We start from the raw sequence: 25177 nt of genomic DNA, 5'->3' as shown, positions 1-25177 counted from the left end.
CAACTTACTAGCTATGTGACTTTGAATGATTATTAAAATAATTGAATAAGTTACTTGATTCTTCTTTGATTCGGTTTCCTCATCTGTGAAGTGGAAATAACAATATCACCTGCTTCATAAGTATTTATGAGAGTGAAATGAGAAAATACAGGCAAAGCACAGAGAAGAGAGCTGGACACATTAGTAAGCACTAGAAAGAGTAAGCTATTAGTTGCTGGGAGCGGTGGCTAACACCTGCACTTTGGGCAGACCAAGGTGGGAAGATCCCTTCAGCTTAAGAGTTTGACACCAGCCTGGGCAACATAGAGAGACCACATCTCTATTTTTTTAATACTTAAGAAAAAAATAAAAATTAGCTATTATTAACAATTGCTAATTTTATTTTTATATATTCCTGTGCCACATTCAATGCCTTTCCCTAACAAAAAGAGCTTAGATCAGAGAGGCTAGACAACTGCAAGCAACTTTTCACCCTTTAACTATATGATTTTTAAAAGACAACTACCTGATAAAGTGTTCATAATAGTAACCCAGATAGAAACAACAAAATATACTGTGATTAATCCCAGTTCTTACCAGTCTGTTTCAGGAGACTGTAAAGTTGCTTTAAAATGATAACAGGAATCTAATACCAAAACAAGTCATAAGAGAATATGACATGAAAACTTCAGGACCAAATTCAATGAGCAAGCTCTTTTTTGATTAACAATAGTAATGAAAGTAGATGTGAATGCAATCATCTTCTAACAAGCCAAATCATTTTGTTCTAAAATCATTGTGAATTAAATAACTATTTCTACTTTCCCCTAATGTTTGATGACCTGAAAATGTTTTTATTTCATCTTTGTTTTTTAATAATAGCTTTATTGAGCCATAATTCACATACCCATAAAATGCATCCTTTCAAAGTATACAATTCAGCAGTTTTTAGTAGTTTCACAGAGTTGTGCAACCAGCATCACTAATTTCAGAACATTTTCATCATCCAGAAAGAAGCCTTATACACATTAGCAGTCATTCCTGACTCTTCCCATTCCTTCGCTGGAAGTCTGGTTCACTTTTTGTCCCTATAGATTTGCCTGTTCTGAATGTTTCATATAAATGGAATCATATTATAAGCATTTCATATAAATGGAATCATACACTATGTAGCTTTTGTGACTGGCTTCTTTCACTTAGCTTAATATTTTCAAAGTGCATCCACGTTGTAGCATGTATCAGTTCTTCTTTCCTTTTTATTACTGAATAATTCTATTGTATGTACCACATTTCATTATACATTCATCAATTAAAGGATTTTGCATTGTTTCCACTTTTTGACCATCATGAATAATACTGCTATGAACTTTTGTGTCCATGTTTTTGTGTGGGCATCTCTTCAACTCTCTTTCAATACCTGGGTACCTGGGTGTGCAATTGCTAAGTCATATGGTAACTCCATGTTTCACATTTTGAGAAACTGCCAGACTGTTTTCTAAAGTTTCTGCACCATTTTACAATCCCACTAGCAATGGGATTATAAAGCAACGTATGGGGGTTCCAACTTCCCCACATCCTCATTAACACTTATTGTTGGCTATGTTTTTATATTTGAGCCGTCCTAGTGGATGTGTAGTGTTACTGCATTGTAGGTTTGATTTGACTCTCCTTAATGACTAATGATGTTGAGCATCTTTTCATGTGCTTATTGGCCATTCATACATCTTTTTGTTTGTTTGGTGAGACGTCTATTCAATCTGGATTGTCTTTTTATCATTGAGTTTTAAATGTTCTTTACATTTTCTGTAGGCTAAGTTCCTGTATTAGGCTATTCTTGTGCTGCTATTAAGAAATACCAGAGGCCGGGCGCGGTGGCTCAAGCCTGTAATCCCAGCACTTTGGGAGGCTGAGGTGGGCAGATCACGAGGTCAGGAGATCGAGACCATCCTGGCTAACCCATGAAACCCCGTCTCTACTAAAAATACAAAAAAATTAGCCGGGCATGGTGGCGGACACCTGTAGTCCCAGCTACTCAGGAGGCTGAGGCAGGAGAATGGCGTGAACCCAGGAGGTGGAGCTTGCAGTGAGCCGAGATCCCATCACTGCACTCCAGCCTGGGCGACAGAGCGAGACTCCATCTCAAAGAAAAAAAGAAATACCAGAGCCTGGATAATTTATCAAGAAAACAGGTTTAATTGGCTCACGGTTCTGCAGGCTGTACAAGTATGGTGCTGACATCTGCTTGGCTTCTCGGGAGGCCTCAGGAAGCTTTTACTCACAGCAGGTGAAACAGGAGCAGGCACTTCACTTGGCAAAAGCAGGAGCAAGAGATAGAGAGCTGATGGGGAGGTGTCACACACTTATAAACAACCAGATCTCGCAAGAACTCACTCACTGTCATGAACACAGCACCAAGCCATAAGAGATTGCTCCCATAATCCAAACACCTCCCACCAGGCCCCACTTCCAGCATTGGGTATTACAATTCAACACGAGATTTGGGAGGGGACAAATATCCAAACTATGTCAGTTCCTCATCTAATATAATTTGCAAATATGTTCTTTCATTCTGTCAATTGTCTTTTACTTTCTTGATAGTGTCCTTTTTTTATGTGTGTGAGATGGAGTCACTCTGTCACCCAGGCTGGAGCACAGTGACATGATTTTGGCTCACTGCAATCTCCACCTCCCGAGTTCAAGCAATTCTCCTGCCTCAGCCTCTCAAGTAGCTGGGATTACAGGCATAGGCCACCATGCCTGGCTAATTTTTGTATTAAAAATTCAACTAAAAAGTGGAGATGGGGTTTCACCACGTTAGCCAAGCTGGTCTTGAACTCCTGACCTCAGGTGATCTGTCTGCCTCAGCCTTCTAAAGAGTTGGGATCACAGGCGTGAGCCACCATGCCCGGCCAATGGTGTCCTTTAAAGCATACAGTTTAAAATTTTCATGAACTCCAATTTATCTTTTTTTTCTCATGTTGCTTCTGCTCTTAGTGTCATATCTAAGAAAGCTTTGCTTAATCCAAGGTCATAAATAATTACTGCTTTCTTATATAAATTTTATACTTCGGCTTTTTTTTTTTTTTTTTTTTTTTTTGAGATAGGGTCTCACTCTGTCACCCAGCCTGGAGTGCAGTGGCACGATCACAGCTCACTGCAGCCTCACTCTCCCAGGCTCAGTTGATCCTTCCACTTCAGCCTCCTGGGTAGTGAGACTACTGGCACACGCTGCCACACCCAGCTAATATTTTATATTTTTTGTAGAGATGGAGTTTCACCATATTGCCAAGGCTGGTCTCAAACTCCTGGGCTCAAGCAATCTGCCTGCCTCAGCTTCCCAAAGTGCTAAGATTACAGGAATGAGCCACCAGGCCCAGCCATTTTGAGTCAATTTTTGTATATGTTGTGAATAGGGGTCCAGCATCATTCTTTTACTTATGGATATCCAATTGTCCCAACACCATTTGTTGGAAAGACTATTATTTTCCCCATTGAATAGTAATGTCACCCTTGTTGAAAAATCAAGTGACCATAAATGTAAGGATTTATTTCTGGGCTCTCAACACTATTTCATTGATCTGCATGTCTAGTCTTTTACCAGTATGAGCCTGTCTTAATTACCATAGCTTTGTAATAAGTTTGAAACTGGGAAATGTGAGTCTTCCAACGTTGTTTATCTTTTTCAAGATTATTTTGGCTCTTCTGGGTTCCCTTAATTTCATATGAATTTAAGATCATGTGATGTTAATTTTATGTGTCAACCTGACTGGGTCACAGGATATGCAGAAATGTGGTTAAACATTATTCTGGGTATGTCTATAATGGTGTTTCTGGATGAGGTTAACATTTGAATCAGTAGACTGAGTAAAGCAGATTTTCCTCCCCAATGTAGGTGGGCCTCATCCGACTTGCTGAAGGCCTGAATAGAATAAAAGCTCTGAGGCTGGGCACAGTGGCTTATACTTGTAATCCCTGCAATCTGGGAGGCCGAGGTGGGAGGATCACTTGCACTCAGGAGTTCAAGACCAGTCTGGGCAACATGGTGAAGCCTCATCTCTAAAATAAATATAAAAAATTAGCCAAGTGTGGTGATGTGAACCTGTAGTCCCAGCTACCAAGAAGGCTGAGGTGGGAGAATCACCTCAGCCCCCAGGAGGTCGAAGCTGCAGTGAGCTGTGATTGCACCACTGCACTCCACCCTGGGTGATAGAGTGAGACTCTGTCTCCAAAACAAAAACAAAAACAACAAAACAACCCTGAGCAATGGAGAATTCACTCTCTCTGCCTGACTCTCTTCAAGCTTAGGCATCGGTTTTCTCCTGCCTTCAGACTTGTACTCAGACTGGAACTTATAAAATTGGCCCACCTGATTATCAGGCCTTTATACTGAAACTAGAACTATGCTGTTGGCTTTCCTGGGTCTCCAGCTTTCCAGCTGCAGATCTCAAGACATCTCAGCTTCTATAATCCATATATACTATTTGTTCTGTTTCTCTGGAGAACTCTGACTAAGACAGATCAATTCGTTAATTTCTGCAAAAAAAAAATGCCAGTTGAGATTTTGATAGAGTATATTATATATGTATTCACCATCATTTACGAAGCATTTCTCCTCTGGTTATAGAACTTTTGGTTGACAGTACTTGTTTTTCTTTATAGTTGTTTTTTCCTCCCAGCAATTCAAAGATATCGTTTCCTTATTTTATGGCTTTCACTGTTTTTGTTGAGAAGACAGTTGCTAATCTTAGTCATTTGAAAGTAGTTTTTCTTTTCTTCTGATTGTTTCTGAAGTTATACTTTTGTCTTCAATTTTCAGCAATTTTACTATAATGTGCTTAGATGTGTTTTCTTTGTATTTTGATTGCCTGGGGTTGTGGAGTTTTTAAAATCTGTGGTCTTATATGTTTTATCAGCTTTTTAAAATTCCCAGTTATTATCTCTAGGAATATTGTTTCTGCCCCACAGTTTCTCTTGCCTCTTTTTCAGGGAATTCAATTACATGTATACAGACTTCTTCACTGTGTTCTCTATGTTTTGTATGATTTTCTATATTTTCCATTTCTTTGCCTCTCTATTTTTTTCTGGATATTTTCTGCCTTTATCTATATCTAATCTCTGTCAAGTTTCATCCATTGAACTCTAAATTTGTATTATCTGTACTGTTCTAGAATTTCAAATAAGTTTCTTTATAGTTCCCAGTTCTCTGTTGAAATGGTCTTGCTTTTTATTTCCTTGCATGTATTTTTCATAGTTACTATAAAGCCTATATCTGATAACTCTATTATCTGCACTCCCTGTATATCTATTTCTATTGTCTTTTTATTATTTTTCTTTGAAAACTAACATTATTTTTTCCATTATTTTATATCACATTATTTTGTCTCCTCATTTGTTGTTATTTGTCTTTGAGCTCCAGATATTGCATATGAAAAATTATAAAAAATAATGTTAAACTTGGAATAATATTGTCTTCCTCTGAGATGGATTTACATTTGCTTCTGGAAGGAAGCTAGGGGATTAGTAATCCCATATTACCTTGATCTAATCATAGACTGAGATGATTTAAAGCTGGTTTTCTGTCCCTGGTATAACTAGCCTATTTATGAATTGCCATTTCTGCTGTTACCACCAGGTGGGTTCTTCTTGTCTACTGCACAGATAAAGCCAATCCACCAAGACAGTGATATTACAGCAGAGAAAGAGTTTAATAATCACAGGGCTAGGTAGCTGAGCAAATGGATGGGAGTAATTCTTACTCAAATCAGCCTCCTCAAAAACTCAGAGGCTAGGGCTTTTCAAGGATATTTGGAAGGCAGGGATCTAGGGAATGGAGAATGCTGATTGGTTGGGTCAGGGATGAAATCATAGGGGATCAAAGCTGTCTTCTTATGCTGAGTCAGTTTCTGGGTGGGGGTCACAACACCAAATGGGCAAGTTTCTTGGTATGGGTTACTGGTTCAGGTGGACCATCAGCTGGTCCATCAAAATGCAGGGTCTGGAAAATACCTCAAATACCAATCTTAGGTTGACAATAGTGATGCTATCTATAGGAGAAATTGGGGAGGTTACAAATTTTGTGACCTCTGGCTACATGACTCCTGAACTATAATTCTAACCATATTGCTAAGTTTAGTTTTGCACAGGTAGTTTCAGTCCCTGAGCAAGGAGCAAGTTAGTTTCAGGAAGGGGGTATTATCATCTTTGTTTTAAAGTTAAACTATAAACTAAATTCCTCCCGTAGTTAGCTTGGCTTATGTCCAGGAATGGACAAGGGCAACTTGAAGATTACAGGAAAGATGGAATTAGTTATGTCAGATTTATTTCACTGTCATAATTTTTCTGTCAGATTTCTCTCACTGTCATAATTTTTGCAAAGGCAATTTCACTCCTAGGTTGTAGCACCTTGAGATCCCAACCCAAAGCCTGGAAAGGAGGTTGCCAGAGCCTTCTTTAGCAGGCTCTGAGAAAAATACCTTTATTTTCAGCCTCTCAGTCTTCCAAACTTACATCAATTTTTGTGAATTTAGATTATATCCCTAGGGGAAAAGCATCCCCCAACACTGGGCTCACTTCTGTGAGTTTTCATCTCCCAAACCTTGGCCCTATAGTTATGCCTGTTTTGTTACGTCTCTAATACTTTCAGATGTTTTCACATTGTAATAATAGTATCTTCCTCTGAGGTGGATTTACATTTGTGTCTAGAAGAAAGCTAGGGGATTAGTAATTCCATATCATCTTCATCTAATCATAGATCGAGATGATCCAAAGCTGGTTTTCTTTTCTCCTTTTTCTTTTTTTTTTTTTTTTTTGAGATAGAGTCTTGCTTTGTTGCAGTTAATTGTGCAGTGGCACAATCTTTGCTCACTGCAGCCTCCACCTCCCAGTTTAAGAGACTCTCCTGCCTCATCATCCCAAGTAGCTGGGATTTCAGGTGTCCACCAGCACACCTGGCTAAGTTTTGCATGTATGGGGTTTTGCCATGTTGGTCATGCTGGTCTCAAACTCCTGGCCTCAAGTGATCTGCCCACCTTGGGCCCCCAAAGTGCTGGGATTACAGGCGTAAGCCACTGCACACGTCCTCAAAGCTGATTTTCTGTCTCTGAAAAGAATTTTTTAGATTCTTTCTGAATCCTTCTCAGTGAAAAGATTCATTTAAAGACCAGCAGCAGTTCCCTCCTTTATGCAAGACAAAGAGGGAGCTACTTCCACATATTAACCATCTCCATAACAGCTCCAGAAATCACTGATCTCTGCCATCTGTAGGAAAGACAGGCCCACTGTTCAGGGTATGTGAGGTTTGAATGAGAGAACCTAGACAAAGTGCTTGGTAAGTTGTTCCTTTTTTCCTTTTCCAAGTTATTGGTAAAGAATGCTCGGTACTTTTTGTAATGATCATGCTTCTCTCTTTGTTCCATCCTTTAGAAAGTTCAGAGCCAAATTTTAATCCTTCTACCAACTTATGATTCAGAACCTTATCATATATCCTTTGTGAAATGATCTTATCACAATTTCGTTATATTGTCTGTATTCCACGTGTTTCATCTATTTTCTTTAACTCTTGTTGTATTGTATGTGTTCATATAAGCCTCTCTCAATCACTTTCATAGGAGGTGGTACATAAAGAAACAAATTAAATAATTTAAATAAAAGTATTTTGAACTATGATATGCCATAAATGTGATAGAGAATATAGATATTAGTTCAGGATTGAGCCACTTCCCTGGGCTAGCAGGACTTCAAGGTCCCTGTCTTCCCATGCCCCTCACTGACATCAAATTGGACCTTAAAAGTCCAATCCAAGATCCATTTTTCAGAAAGCCTTCCCTGACCTCCCTGCATGAACGTCTTGCCTTAATCACATTGAGCCTCATATTGCTGGACATGACTGCCCTACCACATACTCTCTTTATGCATTTGTAACATCCACAATGCCTAGAAAAGAAATTATCTTGAATTGAATTTTTCACACCTTTACTGGGCAATAATTAGCATGCAATAAACTGCACATATTTAAAGTATACAGTTTGGTAAGTTTCGACATATGTATATACCTATAAAACCTTCACCACCATCAAGATAATGCACATATCTACTGCAATTAGTTTACCTATTCACTTGTTAATGACATTAAGATTGTTTGAAATTGCTGACTATTAAAAATAAAGCTGACATGAACGTTCTTGTATAAGTGTTTGTATGGACATATTCTTCCTTTTCTCTTGGATGAATATGTAGAAGTGGAATAGTTGGGTCATATAGCTTTTTAAGAAACCAATAAACTGTTTTCCAAAGTGGTTGTGCCATTTTACATTCTTATCATCAGCAGTATAAGACAATTTTAGTTCTTCCACAACTTCTCCAACACTTAGTGTGTTCATTCTTTTTAATTGTAGCCATTCTAACAGGTGTGCTATCTTATTGTGGCTTTAATTTGCACTTACGTACTGACAAATGATGTTGGGCATCTTTTCATGTGTTTTTTGGGGGAGGGGGGAGGGTGGAGGCAGGCATTTGTTTATCTTCTTTGGTGTCCAAATCTTTTGCTCATTTAGAAAATTGCATTGTTTTCTTGTAATTGAGTTCTGAGTATTCTTTATGTTTTCTGGACACAAGTTCTTTATCATATACAGGATTTATAAATGTTTTCTCCCTGACTATGGATTATCTTTTCATTTTCTTAGATGTCTTTTGAAGAACAGAAATTTTTAACTTTGATGTAGTACAACTTACCAATTTGTTCTTTTATAGATTGTGCTTTTGCTGCTAAATCTAAAGAATTTTTGACTAATCCAAAGTCACAAGAGTTTTCCTTGAGAAGTTGTGTAGTTGTACACTTAGATCCAGGGTCCATTTTTAGTTAAGTTTTAATTATGAAGTGAGGTATGAATCCAAGGGTTTTTGTTGTTGTTGTTGTTGTTTGATTTTTGTTTTGGTTTTTTGGGTTTTTTGTTTTTATTTTGTGTTTTTTGTTTTGTTTTGCCCCGTTTTTTTTTGCTGTTTGGCTACCCAACTACTATAGCACCATCTCTTTAAAAGACTATTTTATCTTAACCAAATTGCTGTTGTACTTTGTTGAAAATCAATTGTCCATATATACATGGGTCTTTTCAAGACTTTCTATTCTGTTCCATTGATCTATTTTTCGATCTTCTATCTTTACATCAATACTATACTGTCTGAATTGCCATAGCTTTATATAAATTTGAAATCAGATAATATTAATCCTCCAATTTTGTTCTTTTTAAAAGTTATTCTGGCCATTTTTAATCTGTTTCATTTTATATTAATTTTAAAATTGGTTTATAAATTTTACCTAAAACAAAGCAGCTGGAATTTTGATTGTGAATGCCTTAAGTTTATAGATCATGTTGGGGAGAAAATCTTAATAAAGTTGAATCTTTTAACCCATGAATATGGTATATATTTATTATTTAGATCGTCTTTAATTTCTTCCAGCAATGGTTTGCAGTTTCCAGTAGAGATCTTTTAAATCTTCTGTCCCTGATTTATCCCCAAGTATTTTCATTTTTTATGCTATTGTAATTAGTAATCTTTAAAAATTTCAAGTTCCAAGAGTGTGTTGCTGGTGTATGGAAATACAACTTGTTTTTGTATATTGATCTTGTATTCTGCAACTTCACTAAGCTTTCTTATTAGTTCTAGTTGCTTTTGTTGTTATTGCTGAGACTGGGTCTCCCTCTGTCACCAAAGCTGCAGTGCAGTGGTGGGAACACAGCACACTACATCATTGGCTTCCTGGGCCCAAGCAATCCTCCCACCTCAGCCTCCTGTGTAGCTGGGACCACAGATGCTTGCCACCACACCTAGCTAACTTTTTGTAGAGATGGGGCCTTACTCTACTGCCCAGGCTGGACTCGAACTCCTGAGCTCAAGTGATCCTCCTGCCTCAACCTCTCAAAGTCCTGGGATTACAAGCATGAGCCATTGCACCTAGTTTGTTGCTTTTTGTAAATTCCATTGGATGTTTCTACCTAGATAATCATGTCATCTATGAATAAATACATTCTTCATTTGTAATCTGGATAACATTTAGTTCTTCTTGAATTGAACTGAGGTTTACTGGACCTGGATGTACAGGGACTTGAATTTTTTTTGTTTTTTTTCTGAGGCTTACTCTGTCACCCAGTCAGGAGTGTAGTGCAGGATCATGGTTAAGTACAGCCTTAATCTCCCAGGCTCAAGAGATCCTCTCACCTAATTTTTTTTTTTTTTTTTTTTTTTTTTTGTAGAGGCAAGGTCTTACTATGTTGCCCAGACTGGTCTCAAACTCCTGGCTCAAGCAGTCCACCCACTTCTTCCTCCCAAAGTACTGGGATTACAGGCATGCACCAACATGCCCAGCCAGGAACTGAATTTTAATGCCAACTCGGCCATAACTCACTGTATTAACCTTTGGCAAATCACTTTTCCTCTCTGGACCCTCGAAAATGATCTGCATATTCTCTATGTAGATCTGCATATTCTCTATGAACATTCCTTCCCACTTCTAACATTCTAGAAGACTAAGAATGTACACAGAAAGGTGTGAGCACTCTTACAATTCATGGCTTCCTGCCTCCAGGCCTCTGAGTCCTACTCTCTTCCCGTTAAGTGATTGACTCACTGTGCTCCTGACAGTTGAACTGAACTGGCAAATGTCACCTTTTTTGTTCCCAATCTCCCAGTGAAATAAGTGAGTGGCTATATTCAGTCATTCTTTTGCCATTTATTGTACTGCCTCCCGTGAGCAAGGCCCAGTTTGCAGAGCAGGGTGGATTATCTGTTTTCTAACAAAGGCCAAAGGCCTTTAACTCATGAAAAAATCAGCTAACAGCCATTTACAAATAAAAAGCAACTACATTTGATATATTTTTAAAAAAACACTTTCCATTATCTTGCTTTCAGATTCAGTCCTTATTAATAATGTAGCATTATACTGTGCTGAGATGGGGTAGGGTGTGGCAGGCTAAAAAGCTAAAAAGACAACATAGCCCTAACTTCCAGGAACTTAGGAGTCCAGCGAGGGAATGGTCCGTTTGTTCTCCATCCATATGGAGAGGGACAGGCAGACAAAGCTACAGTGGAGTATGTTAGAAAAGACCTGAATCTTTGCAAATAGGGAGTCTGAGCAACCCCAAGCCATGGTGGAAATGAGGGATATAGTAGACTTTTTAAAGTCTTTTTGGTCACCTGGGCTTGGACCTCATTCCTAAGTTTGGGATGCCGCTCCTTTTGAGAAAGAGCCCATCTCCCATCAGAGGAAGCTTGTCCAGCCTCCTTGTCATCCAGAGCACATGGCCTCATCTCATCTCGGCCTGTGCAATCAGATGCATTCATTGAACTCTGAATCCAAAGCTGGTGATACAGAAACCATGCAGGTTCCTTTTCGCTAATGGAAGGCAATTGTGGCAGCAGCTACATCTGGTTCCCTGAGACAGTGGTAACACATCTAGTTTCTAGAACCCAGAATCATCTATTCCAACCCTGTCATTTTACAAATGCAGTGTGGAAATAATTGAAAACCACCCAAATGAGAACAAGCAAGGCTATTTATTCAGAGCTTCCTCTAGCGAGGGAGTCAGCCATCATCACCTGCATTTTGGCAGAGATGTCAAGGCAGGCAGAGGAGTAGGAAAGCTTTAGACTTGGATAAAGAAAAGCTTCAGGTATCCCCTGAATGGAGGCTGTTTGCATGGAGAAGCTGTAGGCATGCTGACTAGAAGTGGGCATCCTATGTGATTGGGGTTTATATTTTTGACTTTCTCTGGCCTATCCTAAGTTGGAAGCAGGGACAAAAATTAGAGAAGCTGTCAATTATTAATCAAGTCCTGCCCATTTGGAGCCAATTGTTAAAGGTGTTATTGCTTCCGGGGCTGATTGCTAGTGATAGTGATCTTACTTCCTTGAGAGTCTGACATATTGAGAGTAGGCTGGCTTCCTGGGCTGGATGGATTGGCTTCCTGGGCTGGTTGTTGCAGATTGTGGGTCAGAGTTCTATTTTTAGATATGGCCTGGCCACTGTCTGTTTGTATATTCAGTCTGTCAGCAGAATATGTACTCCCTCCAGAGAAGGGGAGTGGCCTATTTAAGGTCTAACCGCTAATACTAACCAGACCTGATAGGTCAACCTGAGATTTAACGTATTTATCTTGTCATCTCCAAAGGAACTTATGCTCTGCTTGTTGAAGAAACAAGATTTAGACCCATAGAGAAACAAAATTCAGCACAGATGTCACAGAGGTAAGTTGCACCAGGAAATTAATTGTTAGTGCTATAGCTTGGCAGGAAACCTCATCATTTTCCTCTGATAGTGGCCAGAGCTGCTGCTGGTCAGGTGCTTTGTATGTCCTGGGCATTCTACCCATCCAGCAAAGTCCAGGGGTTAAAAGCATGGCTCTCCAGTCTTCCCACGTGCATTCATATTTTATCTCCACCATTGGTAGCTAGTGAACTTGAACATGATATTTTACCTCTCATCTTCAATTTCCTCATCTGTAAAATGGGAATAATAATGGAAATATCTCATCATGCTCTTGTGCAAATTAGATGGCCAGATATTTGTAACATGCTTAGAACACTTACATTATAAGTACTGGTACAAATTAGCTATTGCAATCTCATTTAGTCCTCATATCCATTCAGTCTGGCAAGTAATATCCCCACCTTGCAGATGAAAAACTGAAGATGGTGATGTCCCTTGTCCAAGACAGTGAGAGTCAGAGTCAGAATTTTTACTTATGTCTCTAGGAAACTAAACCTCATTATTCCTTTCTGCTGTGCTTCTGAAGACAAGATGCCATTGTTGGGAAAAAGGACAAGAAAGTCCAAAAGTATGTAGGGCTGTGGTATCAGACCACCCACATTCATATCTTGGTTCTGACTTCTATTAGCTGTAAAACCTTGCACAAATTACTTACCATTTCTGAGCACACTGTCATTTGCAAACTGGTAGTAAGATTAGTTGTTTCAATAAGACTAAGGTTGTTTTAAGGATTAAATAGTGTACTATATGTGAAGCTTCCATTACAACGCCTGGCACATGCTAAGTGCTTAATACTTGACAATAATAATTTTGGTTATTGTAATCAGAAGTGACTATCATAAACCATTCTTCAGTGTCTGTCCTCAATGGTCCCATCTTTGTGCAGTTTTCCCTTAACCTCCAGTCTACTTTGATGTCTCCATTGTTGAATTCCTCATTATTCAACATTGTTGAATTCCCTCATGTAGTGCTACAGTAAGTCAAGAAGAAAAGAGACAAATGACTTGGAGGAGAAGATGGGTTCTTCAGGGAAGACGAATAGACAGGCAAAGGGTAACAAGACAATGGCAACATAGTGACATGGAGTCCCCAAAGACCAAGGCTTCCTATCGCCCAGACTTTCAGAAGAGTCAAAAATGCTTCCTAAGGCTGGGCATTTTGGCTTCAGTCCTGTAATCTCAGCATTTTGGAGGCTGAGGCAGGTGGATCACTTGAGCTCAGGAGTTCAAGACCAGCCAGGGCAACAGGCTGTCTCTACAAAAAATACAAAAATTAGCTAGGTGTGGTGGTATGCACTTCTATTCCCAGCTACTCGGGAGGCTGAGGTGGGAAGATTTCTTGAGCTTAGGAGTTCAAGACCAGCGTGGGAAACAGAGCAAGACCTGTCTCAAAAAAAAAAAAAAAAAAGAAAGAAAGAAAAGAAAAAGCCTTCCTAGGAAGCAAATAGAGGAGCTGTGTCTTTAGCTCTGTGGTCAAACTCAGACATGGTCATCTGGGAGACACTCACCATATCCTTAGCAGATGAAACCAGCTTCCTCCTTGCCATGTAGCATCCCTTGGAGGTGATGATTCTAATTTTAGCACTGAGTTCCATGTGGTTGACTTCTGAACACTGTTTTTTCAGAGTTGAAGCCAAGTTGTTTATCAGATTGGTCAGAGAGAATCAGGAAATATGCAACTGAAAAACCTGATAGATGAAGGGTGAAAAGAGGTAAAAACCTGATAGAAAATGGGCAACAATAGTGGGAGTATGAACTTACAAAAGCAAGGGAGCAAATCAAAGGAACATAAAAGACCACCTCTTCCGTCACCCTGTAAAGTAGATATTACCATTCTGTTTCCCAAAGGAAGAAACTAAGTCCAAATAAAGTTCAGTTTTGCCCCCACAAATCACTCAGGTAATGAGAGCTGAGTCATGATTTGAACCCATCAAAAAATATCTGGAAAAAATAAGCATAAATGTTTAAAAGTGGTTGTCTGAGGGTGGTGAGATTATGGGTGATTTTAATTTTCTTCTTTATATTTCTGTTTTCTTCCAAAATTTCTTTTCTGTTGGGCAGCTGTTACTTGTATAATGAGAGTTATCAAAAGTTAAAGTCATTGAAACTATATCAGGGCCCAGGCTAAGAACAGGGAGTAGAAATTAAAGCAGTAAGGAGAGTTATCTTTAGGACCCAGGGAATCAGCCTGAGACTGTTGTTTCTGAGACTGAGAAAACTAAGCAACTAAATTGGGGGTGCGCTTCAGAGTGAGGTGGGGGAAGAAGGAAGGAACCAGCCCAGGCCAGAACTCTGGCTCCTCAGTGTCCAGGGACACTCAACCTGAAGGGGGCCTGGAAAGAAAACACTGACTTAATAGTTGGACACAAAGATAAGGACTTGATCTGGTAACAACCTAAACTCTGAGGCTGGACAGAATCCAAAATGGAAGGGCCTCAAAAGGGGGCTCATACACCTGTCTGGGCAAGACTCTAGACCTACACTTTGCACCTGTGTGTTTTTAACCTTTATAATAGCGCCTCATGCCCATTGTAATTTGTCTTGCAAGGGTATGGGGTGAGAAAGAAAACAGAGGTATAGAAAGGGCAGTGCTCCAAGCCAATGAGGCGAAAGCAGAGATGGCTGAAGCCCCTCACTCTGTCACAGTCCTTTTGAGAGGAGGGCAGTCGTGGGGTCAGAGCAGTATGAATTAGGAGATAGAGCTGAGGATGAAATCTGCAGGAGAGAGAAGATCGAGGTTCCTACATCTTCTTCCTCAAAGGAGCAAGAGGACCTGGGGTGAAATGAGATTCAAACTTATCCTCAACATGGTCTCTGCTCTTGAAACATTTGCAAACTCCAAGCAGATGTTATGCAAAGAAAACTTTATTTGTAGAAATACATGCTGGCCGTGTAGGATTCCTGGCTGGAAGATACACAATTATGGGACTGGGGAGTCTACTGGGGATGGTCAGTAATTGTAAGGTAGATGTGCAATTCCACATCAAAACTTATTCCACAACCCATCCTAAGTAGTCATTGGTTCAATTTCAAATATCTCACAGAGCATCAGCATGAGTAAATATGTCCTTAGTTGAATACAAATGAATAACCCCCCTAGCCACTCTTCTAGAATTTACAAGGTTTTTTTTTTTTACTGTATAAAAATACATCACCTGCTCTAGTCAGGTTATAAATATAATCTGTGAATTTTTTTAAAGTTTCATGTCCAAGTAAAAAAATAAATACATTAAATAGCAAAAAATAAATAAATATATTAACTAATAAATATATCCAATAGCAGAAAGATATTACAAAAATCTTATACAAGTATGGTCTCAATTAAGATTGGGGATGCATAAAGACAATCATGCAAGGAAGCAAGTAATGCATAAATAAGATACACTGTGACCAGCACAAGACTAGTACAGTAAAGAGATGGTGGTTTGGGGTCATGCCTCCTCTGCAGGTATTGAAGACTGGAGCTCTTGACCTCGAATATTCTTAGCAGCAGCATCACTTTCCTCCTATTCTGTCTCCTCCATCCATTGCAGAAGAATGTCTAGTTCCCCCAAAGCCTTCACAACTGCTGCCTGAGGTTCCAGCTGAAAGAGACACACACCCATGTGGTTAGCAATTCATGAGACAGCATTTGCTCCAGGACCTATCTCTTTTATGGATAGGTCTGCTGACAATTGTAAGCAGAGCATTCTTTTCAAGATGAAGCACTTAAAGAAGTTATAGAATCTCAAGATATCACACAAGGAAGGGAAATCATTGAGTTCATCACCCTGGTCTTATGTACAGAAACTGAGGTGCAAGGGGGTAGCAGAAGTAAAACTGCTACTTAAGACTCTTGAATCACAGAGATCAAAATAATCAAGCTATTTTCTTTAAGAAACGTGTGTGTGTGTGTGTGTGCACGTGCCTGTGTGTGTGTGTAGGGGTTGCCTACGGTGCACACATCAGTTGAACAGATATTGATTGTGCCAATCACCTAGCTGATGGTTAGGGATGAAAAGGTGAATGGCACAATCCCTATCCACAGTTGAGTGAGGAGACTGGCAAAAACAGGCAACTAAAATGTAGTGTGGTGAATAAAGGGATGAAATTCCTACAAGATGATGTGGGAGGCATCTAACTCTGAGAGAAGGAGCCAGCACCTTCCTGAAAGTGATGCCCAGGCTGAGTCTTTAAAGGATGAGTAGGATTTAGTCAGTGAGGAGTGAAATCCAGGCCTTCCTGGCAGACATGAGAAGGTGTGAAGGTGAGAAATTGAATGGCATGGGTGTGTGTGTGAAATTGTGAGTGTTTTCAAAGGTACATAGAAGTGTGTGAACATTGTAAAACTATTGCCTCTGGTTTGTGCAGCTAAAAGATCCAGATGTCACTGTAGTGACTTGATGGAATCATGGCCATTCCCTTTCCATTTCCAGAGCATCACCCAGAGAGGGTACTCCTCTAGAGCCTGGATGGGTGTCCCCTGGGTTAAAGCAAGGGCTGGTCCTCATGATTTCAGAGGGCTATGAACCTGAAGGCTACAGGATGTCTAACAGTGAATAACCATCCCACCTACCTATGATCTCAGTTCTTAAAACACACCCATCCCAATCAATGCCAAAGTCGCATATACCTTTTCAAAGTGACTCAGAATCTGGCTGTATTTCTTCATTGCTTCCTCCCCACAATGGCATGTCATGTGGGCATGCTGAAAAGGACCCAAAGAATAATAGATTATATTACAGATTCTGATTTTTTGCCATTGACATGAAGCAGGCAGAAACTCTACTCTTTCACCCACAACCCTGAGGATGCTTATTCCTATAGAAAAGCTCTTTCAGACCTCACATTTGGAATCACTAAGTTCATCATCAGCTAGGAGAGGAAGCCACCTTTTAGGCTCAAACATGGAACTCATCACTTCTTTTTTAGAAATAGGCAGGCAGTACTGAAGGCATTTGCCATCCCCGTACCCCATCTGGCCTCCCCACAACCCCCAGCTGTAGTCTAGGAGCTCTATCCCAGAGCTCTTTGAGCCCCCATGAGAAAAAAAAAAAAAAGAATTGAATTCCTAGGTCCTATTCAGACTATATTCTGAGGTCAAGCTCAATGGTCTACTAATTGACTGCCTAGACAGAGGACGCACTAATATACTGTAGGATACCTCACCTACAGAAAAAGTATAATTTCAAAGACAACAGAGTTATCATTAATATCAAATAGTTAGCATCTTATAGTTCTTTAGACTTTGCAAAGTACTTTTTGCCTAGAGCATATACCGAAAAGTCAATAAAACTGAGTTCTTATTACCTAGTCACATGTCTCAACACAGATTATTAGAACTTTTGGACTCAGTTTCTCCATCCATTAAATGGAGGTAGGAAAGAGAGTTTAGTTGCTAAGCCATTGAAGCTGTGTGCTGAGATGCATCCTGTCACCCAAGACCCACACTCACACAGAGCCGGAGGTCCTTCTTGATGGTAAGAAAGGAATTGGCGAGGCTGCTGATCTTCCGGAGAGTATAATGGTCAGGGGTCTGGTAGTTTTTAAATACCCTGTCCAGATAGAGTCTTAGCAAATGGCGCAGGAGGCAGCATCGATTCGCAGGCTGCAAAAAACCACAGGTATATTGGTGAGGGGAAAGGGGAGAGCAGAGACAAGACCAGGGTGATGGAGATGCTCCCACTCCACTCCTCCTCCCAGAGTTTGTCTGGGCCAAGCACATACCTTTGTGTCTTGCAAAGACTCAGTCCTCCTTAAGATTCTGATGTCAATGTTTCCATCTTTGGCTTGCTAAACAGAAGAAGACAAAACAAGCAAGGATGAGTCAGTGCCTGCTGCCAGGGTCTTCAATATCAAGACTTCTCATCCACTCCCTGCCAAGAACTAGTGGGAGGTGTCCTTTCCCAAAACATTTTAAATATTTGAACTACAGTTATTTCTTTGGAATACATCCCCCGGGTAAGGAATCCCCAGCCTGCCTCTTTTTATGATTACACTGCCAGTACTGCCAGGAAAGAGAAACGGACAAGGAAGGAAGAGAAAAGGCTTTCAGGAGAGGTAGATACCCGCTTACGTACCACACTGCCCCGTATCTCAGAAAATCCATTTCGTATTTCCTGAAGGTTTGTGGCGATCACACAGCTTCCCAAATTGAGTGTCTTCAGTCCAGTGGAAGGAGTCCATAGGAGATAAAACGCAGCAGAGAGAAGGCTGAAGGCAAGACTAGAGGCTTTCATCTTAGGCCTGAAATCTGGAGACCACAGGAGCTAGGAATTCAAAGAAGAGAGCATGACTTACTGAGTTTCCCCTCCTCCAAGTGTCCACGGGGTGAGGGGTGGGGGGTCAGGGGAAGAGAACAGCCTTATCTGGCCTCAGACAGTGTGGCCCATCCACGCAACTTACTAAGAAAAACTGCCAAGCCTCCCGTGAAGAGAAGATTTCAGGTCTGAGTTCAGAGTCTGAGTGCGAGTTGGTGGCACAGGTCGTGGCTCCTTTATTCTGTCCCCATCCTGGCTCCGCCGTTAGTGCCCAGCAGGTAAGGCCTGGAACAGCAGGCACTTGCAGTGAATAGATAGAGAATGACATTTCAGGGGAAATGTCAAAACTTGTTTTGGGGAATTGACGCATATAGCCTCCCCTTCCAGAAAGCCAACGTAGCTCACCCTTCTGGTCCCCTCAGACCCACAGGGGAACTGGGGAGAAATCGAATCTCACAGAAGCTGTGGCTGCGCCATCGAAAACACCTAGGGGGAAATTGTCTGGATTTTATGGCCACCCACAGGGCAGAGAAACTGAGCTCTGTTTGGCATTTGTCTGAGATCAGATAGGTTATTTGAGGGTAACAGATTCGCTTAAGCCCCAGAGGCAAATAGAAAGTCAATGATTTCATAACAAGCCTACTGCCAGGGAAAGGCAAGACGTGATGGGCAATCAGCCCGATTCCACCTAACACTCGTGTCTGGGACTCCACAGCGCCCTCTGCAGGAGGACTGTAGTCAGGCACTCCTGGGTGGATTCGAGAGTACACGCTTTCCTGGACCTGCAACTCAGGTCCTAGACCAAGCAAATGGTCCCAAAAGTCAGAGAAGAAAGGCAATGACGGAACTCATTTATTCTTGGGCGAGCCTCCTCAGTAAGAGAGCAGGTTAGGGTGTTTGCTGAGTTTTAAGATAAAATAATAATGGGCTGAGGTTAGGGTAAAACAATTGAGGCACTCATTTTAGGTGCAAAATTTAAGGGAGCACTAAAAAACCTCAGTCATCAAGATAAAAATATTTTAGTGCAATATCAAAATGAATTAAAAAGCTTATGACAAACAAAATATCAAAATTTTATATAAAGACAAAATTCGACAGTGCCATGCTGAGCCATATTGAAGCAAAAGGAAAAATTTGTACCACTATTCACATGTTTTCATGTTTCATTCTTAATGGTTAACTTTGTTTCTCAAAAGCATATGATGAAAATATTATTGATGAGTTTCCTTCCCTTAAAACCAGGACAGTAAAATTATAATAAATTTTGTTTGGGGCAGAAATAAAATATTTAAACTTAAAGTCATGAGTCGTAATAAACCTACTTTTTAATTTTTCAATTTTCTCAAATACTTTAATATTTTTGAAAGAAATAAATACATAAAATTTATAAAGACATATATATATACACACACATCATATATATATATGCACACATCCATATATATATGGCTGGCTCCATAGCTTGGCACAGCACTGATAATCATTATCACTTACTGAATTTTTCCTATATGCCAGGCAATATGCTAGACATTTTTTACATTTGTGACCACTCGAGATACTGTCAAATGTAGGAAAAGGAAAAAAGCAAACCAAACCCAAAAGAATCAAAGAGGACTCTGGGTTTGGAGACAAGAGAACTGGGTCCAAATAAATCCTCGCTTTACTAGTTTCCATTGATGTGGGTCATTCCAGTTTACCCAGCACTGAGGTTGGGGGGCAGGGAATGGTTCCTGAAATACGAAAATTTCAGTTTTAAAACTGGAAAAACCACAGGTAAACTGGAATGAGTTGGCCACCCTACCTCTATGTGACCTTGGACAAGTCAACTCACCTCTGAGTTTAATTTTCTTAACCCCAAAATGGTGATAATTAAACTTAACCCAGAAATTGTTTTGATTTTAAATCGATTATTTAAATACAATAATCTATGATTTATACACTTAGCACAGAGCAAGTGATCAATTCATTTTAAGTAGAGATTGATGTTAGTTGTCCTGAACTAACAATTTGATGAGCATTTAATGAGCACCCGCTGTCTTGAATGTTGTGCTAGGTACTGAAGTACAAAGATAAACATGATGATTATTTGTCCTCAAAGAGATTTTGTCCTCGTGGAAAAGGGTCCTTTAGATGTGACCTTGAACATACCTGGGTAAATGATTAGGAGAAGTAGGTGATCCTCACAACAACGTGAGCAGTGTCAGTAGAGGGTAAGATCTCTTACCTGAGCTCAGGAAAGGCTGCTGCTTCTGGTCTCCTAGGAGCCTGTTTCAAGTTGAAAGGCTTCCCATTATTTATATCTGTATATACATGTCACATGAAGGAAGTGAGCTCAGGCAGGTGAGGGCTGGAACTCCCTTGGAATTTCTCTGGTGGCATTGTTCTTCCTCAAGCACTACAGCAGCTTAATTGCAGGACAGATTACCCCAACACCTTCCTCCTGGAAGAAGCACTGCCTGAGGGGATTACTGGTTGTAGCTGTGGATAAAGGATGTGCCTCCTTCTGGCTCCACCTTCCTGCTTGATAAAATGATGGATAGAGAAGATCTGAGTTACTGAACTGGAAGAGAATTCTGGGGGATTCTCCTGCTCTCTCCTCTAAACCCAGTTCCCCTTAACCAAGTTTCTCCACAACTCCAGACACTGTGGGCTCATTCCTGCTGTTTTTCCTCAGCCCTTGCTATCCCCACCATTGCTCTCCAACATGGCCACCCTTCCCTCTAGTCATCATTAAAGATGAAACCCAAATCCTTTATTCCTGAACAACTCTGGGCTATACCAATCCCTCCCTTCTCTGACTTCCAATAGCAGATTTTTCTTTGGCAGTGAAAGCATCTAATGTTGTCCTGTGTTTCATGGAACTTGGTCTTTTCTCCCTAATAACACTGGAAAATTTTTTAGGCTGGGACTAGTCCATCATGTAGGACCATGCTCCCAGACAAAATTAAATTCAAAGAACCTGGGATGAATTATAGACAACGCCTTGGAAACATAAAGATGGTAGAGACTATCATATGTTCTTTATCAACTTATTAAAAATTAAATATCTAAAATTCTGAAGTCTTATATTTGAGTCCAAAGACTCCACATTACAGTATGACTTTGGCATATGATTGTGTCTTTCTGGATCTCAGTTTACAAATCTGTAAAATGAGAGAAACAGACTAAACAGTGTGTAAGGTCTTTTCCTGTTCTGACATTCAATGACTCTTTGTGTTTCTACCTTTTGGATCAGAATGTTCTTTTCAACATCTTTTGATATCTTCTTAAAGTTTCCTGAAAATAAAGACCATGGCTTTTTATTGTAATGCTTGATAAATGTTGAAAATATGTACAAATATCTAATCTAAATATCTCTTAAACTATTTAAGCTCATGCCTATTTTTCCATCATTGGTGCCAAGTTAACCATTTCTCATGATCATATATAAGTGTGATTAAAGTAAAATCGGGAGATGTGGTCTGATGAGAATAGTTGAAATCAAGATTTTCAGTAAATCTAGGCTTGTATAAGCCAGTCATGTCAGTCAATTCCTTTTCATTAACCAAGAAGAACCCAATTGCATTGTTTTAAGTTACCTGTAATGATTAATTAAACTTAGTATTCACACACAATCCCAAATCTTTTTTTTTTTTTTTTTGAGACAGGTCTCACTCTGTCGCCCAGGCTGGAGTACAGTGGTGCGATCTCGGCTCACTGCAAGCTCCACTTGCCAGGTTCATGCCATTCTCCTCCCTCAGCCTCCCGTGTAGCTGGGACTACAGGTGCCCACCACCCCGCCCGGCTAATTTTTTTTGTATTTTTAGTAGAGATGGGGTTTCACCATGTTAGCCAGGATGGTCTCAATCTCCTGACCTCGTGATCCGCCCATTTTGGCCTCCCAATTCTATTTTAATAATCAAGTCTCCCCTTTTCCTATCTCAAAATACTTTATCCTTTTTTTTTTTGAGTTGTTTTTAAGACAGGGTCCCTCTCTGTCTCCCAGGCTGGAGTGCAGTGGCACAATCACAGCTCACTGCAATTTCCTGGGCTCAAGTGGTCCCCCCATCTCAGCCTCCCGAGTACTTGGGACTATGGTGCGTGCCACCATATTTGGCTAATTTTTTTGTATATTTTGTAGAGATGGGGGTTTCACCATGTTGCTCAGGCTGGTCTCAAACTCTTGGGCTCAAACAATACACCCTCCTCAGCCTCCCAAATTGTTGGGATTACAGGTATGATCCCACACCCAGTTCAAAATACTTTATTCTTTTAAAATTCACTTACCACATTCCACATCACATTCTGTACAGATACCAACTTACCTCATCTCCTCTGCAAAACTTCCCCTGCCCCACTCTAATCTGTCTCTTCACCCCCATTTCCCAAGGCAGAACTGATTCCTCCCACCTTTTCACCTTAACTTTACCTTGTATATTGCTTTTTGTATTTATCACGGTCAACTACAATTTTTTAGTTGCATGTCTCTATCTCTCACAAACCTGAGAGCTCCTTGTTCATCTTCTTGGTCCCAACACCCAAAGGCTCCTAGCAGGTGCTCAGTGAACATTTGATGACTATGGAATGAATATATTGATTTGTCACTGTTCCTTCTTTCTGCTATGTTCTAAAGCCTGAGCTCTATGATTTAACTTATGAGGGGACCCTGGGGCTCCCCTGACACACATCTTCTTTCATATAAGGAATTCTACCTCAATGGCAAGAATTTCCTTATCTAATGATAGACTATTCCTCCTGGACTGTTAGAGCAAGAAGTGATTTTTAAGTACGAGTCTAATTCCTTCATTGTATACATGGGGAAACCATAGTTCAGAGAGGTGAAGTAACTTGCCCAAGGTCATTCAACTGGTAAAAGGCAGACCCCAAAGTTGTATTCAGTAAGTGTTCATTCCAGTACATGACACTCTTAACGCATGAGAAACTCCTATAGTAAATAGCTTTTCTTAAAAATGAGACTGAGAAGGAAGCTTTTCCCATCTCATAATTCTGGTAGAAGAAATGAGTCTTCAGTGGAAACAATGTAGAGGGTATTAGCACTGAAGATCACATGGGACTGAGAGCCAGGAGACCCAATCCTAATATTCACTTTCTTACCAACTTTCAGGGTGAACTTGGGTGACCCAAGTCTAGTTTTTACACCTTTCGGGCATTCAGTTTCATTAATAAAATGGAGATAACACCTACATCGTCTGTCTGCCTCACCCAGGAGTTATATATATATATATGCATATTTATATAAACCTATAGACACATAAGATCATTTTTATCATCCTTGTGTCTGATAGATCTTAAAAGCCATTCTTTCAATAGATATTTATTAAATGCCTACTATGTGCAAGACACTGTGCTGAATGCTGTGAGGATTACAGAGATGCCCCGGGCAGGTCTCTGGCCACTACCTGCCTACAGCCTTGTTGGAGGATAAGAGGTACGTTTGCAGAACCAAGATCAGTACTGCTGAGTGCGCAGAAAGTTAAGTGCCAAGGGGCACAGAGGAGGGCACTATCACATAGCAGAGCTTGAGATAAGCCTTGAAGGGTAGGCAGAATTTAAATGAGCAGAGATGCTAGGGAGGGATAGAGAGGAGGGCGAAGTTGAACAAAGGACACTCAAAACAGAAATGAGAGGACAGAAAAACCCAAAAGGTACTTGAGGACTGGCAAATAGATTTGTTTGGCTGGAGCTCGGTTTCATGGGGAGAAGCCATGGAGAATCAAATTGGAAATATGGCTATAATATCAGTGACCAAGAATACCATACCAAGGAATATGAATTTGATCTGGGAGTCTAGAAACTGAAGTTCTAGCTCTAGCTTTACCTTCACCTCATTGTGTGGTCTTGGTAAAATAACTTCCTTTCCTTATCTGTAAATTATGGGAAAACAAATGAAATGATTTATTAAGCCCCTTTCTACTTGGCTTTCTTAATTCTGTAATTCTTGACTTTTCCCCCTTAAGGCCATAGGGCCACTGAAGACTCTTATAGTGGGGGAGAGATGTGGGAATAGCTGCGCATGAACCATGGGGTCTTCAAGGGCAGCAAGTGCTTGGCACCTTGCTAGTGCTCCAGTGGAACAGATGGGGGATGCAACTGTGTTAGAGAAGCCAGGGGTACATTTCATGGGCACATCAAGCCAGCTTGAGAAAGTGAGGTTCCAAACCCGGGAGTCAGGCTATAATCGGTGCCAGTGGCATTGTAAAGGTAAGCCGCGCAGAAGGAAGAGAAGGAGAATCCCTTCCTAGGAAACAAACTCAGCTTCCTAATTAAGCCATTTTTGGGCAGGAAACAATTTTCTAGACAGCAAGAAGGAAATCCAGCCACTCCTTTTTTTCCAAAGGAAGACCTGAGTTTGCAATGCAGGGTTTTCCCTATCTAGGACATCACAGTTGCTGGCATCTGAGCTTCCTGCCCAGTTGCATCACTTTGCAGGGAAGCACATGGGCCTTCGGTTCTGCTGGAGGAAAAACCTCAGTTCAAAAGGTGGGCAGGTGAAGGCCCTTGCCACTGGCTGGTAGTGCTGGGAGCTTTGCCCCACTTGCAGTTCCAGCTACCTTCCTGGGAGACAGCAGGGTGGGATAGGCGGGGTAGTTGACTATCAGAAGCGTACATTTTCGCTTCCTTGTCCTCAAAGCTGCCAGCATGAGTGACATCATTTCCCTTTCCTGCGTTTTTTCATCATGCTCTGTTTAACCAGCTCA

General features: G+C 40.4%; 1 protein-coding gene across 4 annotated transcripts; it reads right to left on the bottom strand.

Annotated features, from left to right (window-relative positions):
- Nucleotides 1-15087: 15087 nt before the first annotated feature.
- Nucleotides 15088-20746, bottom strand: IL20 (interleukin 20). 4 transcript variants are annotated; one of them, NM_001385167.1, is made up of 8 exons: nt 20704-20746; nt 18885-18965; nt 18625-18764; nt 18300-18488; nt 17947-18012; nt 17675-17827; nt 16853-16927; nt 15088-15824 (listed from the first exon to the last, which is right to left on the bottom strand). In NM_001385167.1, the coding sequence occupies exons 4-8, from the start codon at nt 18456-18458 to the stop codon at nt 15747-15749; spliced, it is 531 nt and encodes a 176-aa protein (NP_001372096.1). In that variant the 5' UTR covers nt 18459-18488; nt 18625-18764; nt 18885-18965; nt 20704-20746; the 3' UTR covers nt 15088-15746. The 4 variants fall into 4 exon arrangements, with proteins under 4 accessions (NP_001372096.1, NP_001372095.1, NP_061194.2 ...); NM_001385166.1 differs by lacking the exon at nt 18885-18965; NM_018724.4 differs by lacking the exons at nt 18885-18965; nt 20704-20746 and having other exon boundaries at nt 18625-18688.
- Nucleotides 20747-25177: the final 4431 nt, after the last annotated feature.

Source organism: Homo sapiens, chromosome 1, assembly GCF_000001405.40.
Source record: "Homo sapiens chromosome 1, GRCh38.p14 Primary Assembly".
In the NCBI taxonomy this organism is placed as follows: domain Eukaryota; kingdom Metazoa; phylum Chordata; class Mammalia; order Primates; family Hominidae; genus Homo; species Homo sapiens.
The sequence above is the reverse complement of the archived record's forward strand: the minus strand, read 5'-3'. Positions and strand labels throughout refer to the sequence as shown.

Coding starts and splice junctions, on each gene's coding strand:
- IL20 (NM_001385167.1), bottom strand. CDS start 18,458: ATGAAAGCCTCTAGTCTTGCCTTCAGCCTTCTCTCTGCTGCGTTTTAT. Junction 16,928..17,674: donor AGAAGGACCTCCGGCTCTGT/GTGAGTGTGGGT, acceptor GGTCCTTTTCAG/CATGCCCACATGACATGCCA. Junction 15,825..16,852: donor TTCTGAGTCACTTTGAAAAG/GTATATGCGACT, acceptor TGTCTCTTTCAG/CTGGAACCTCAGGCAGCAGT.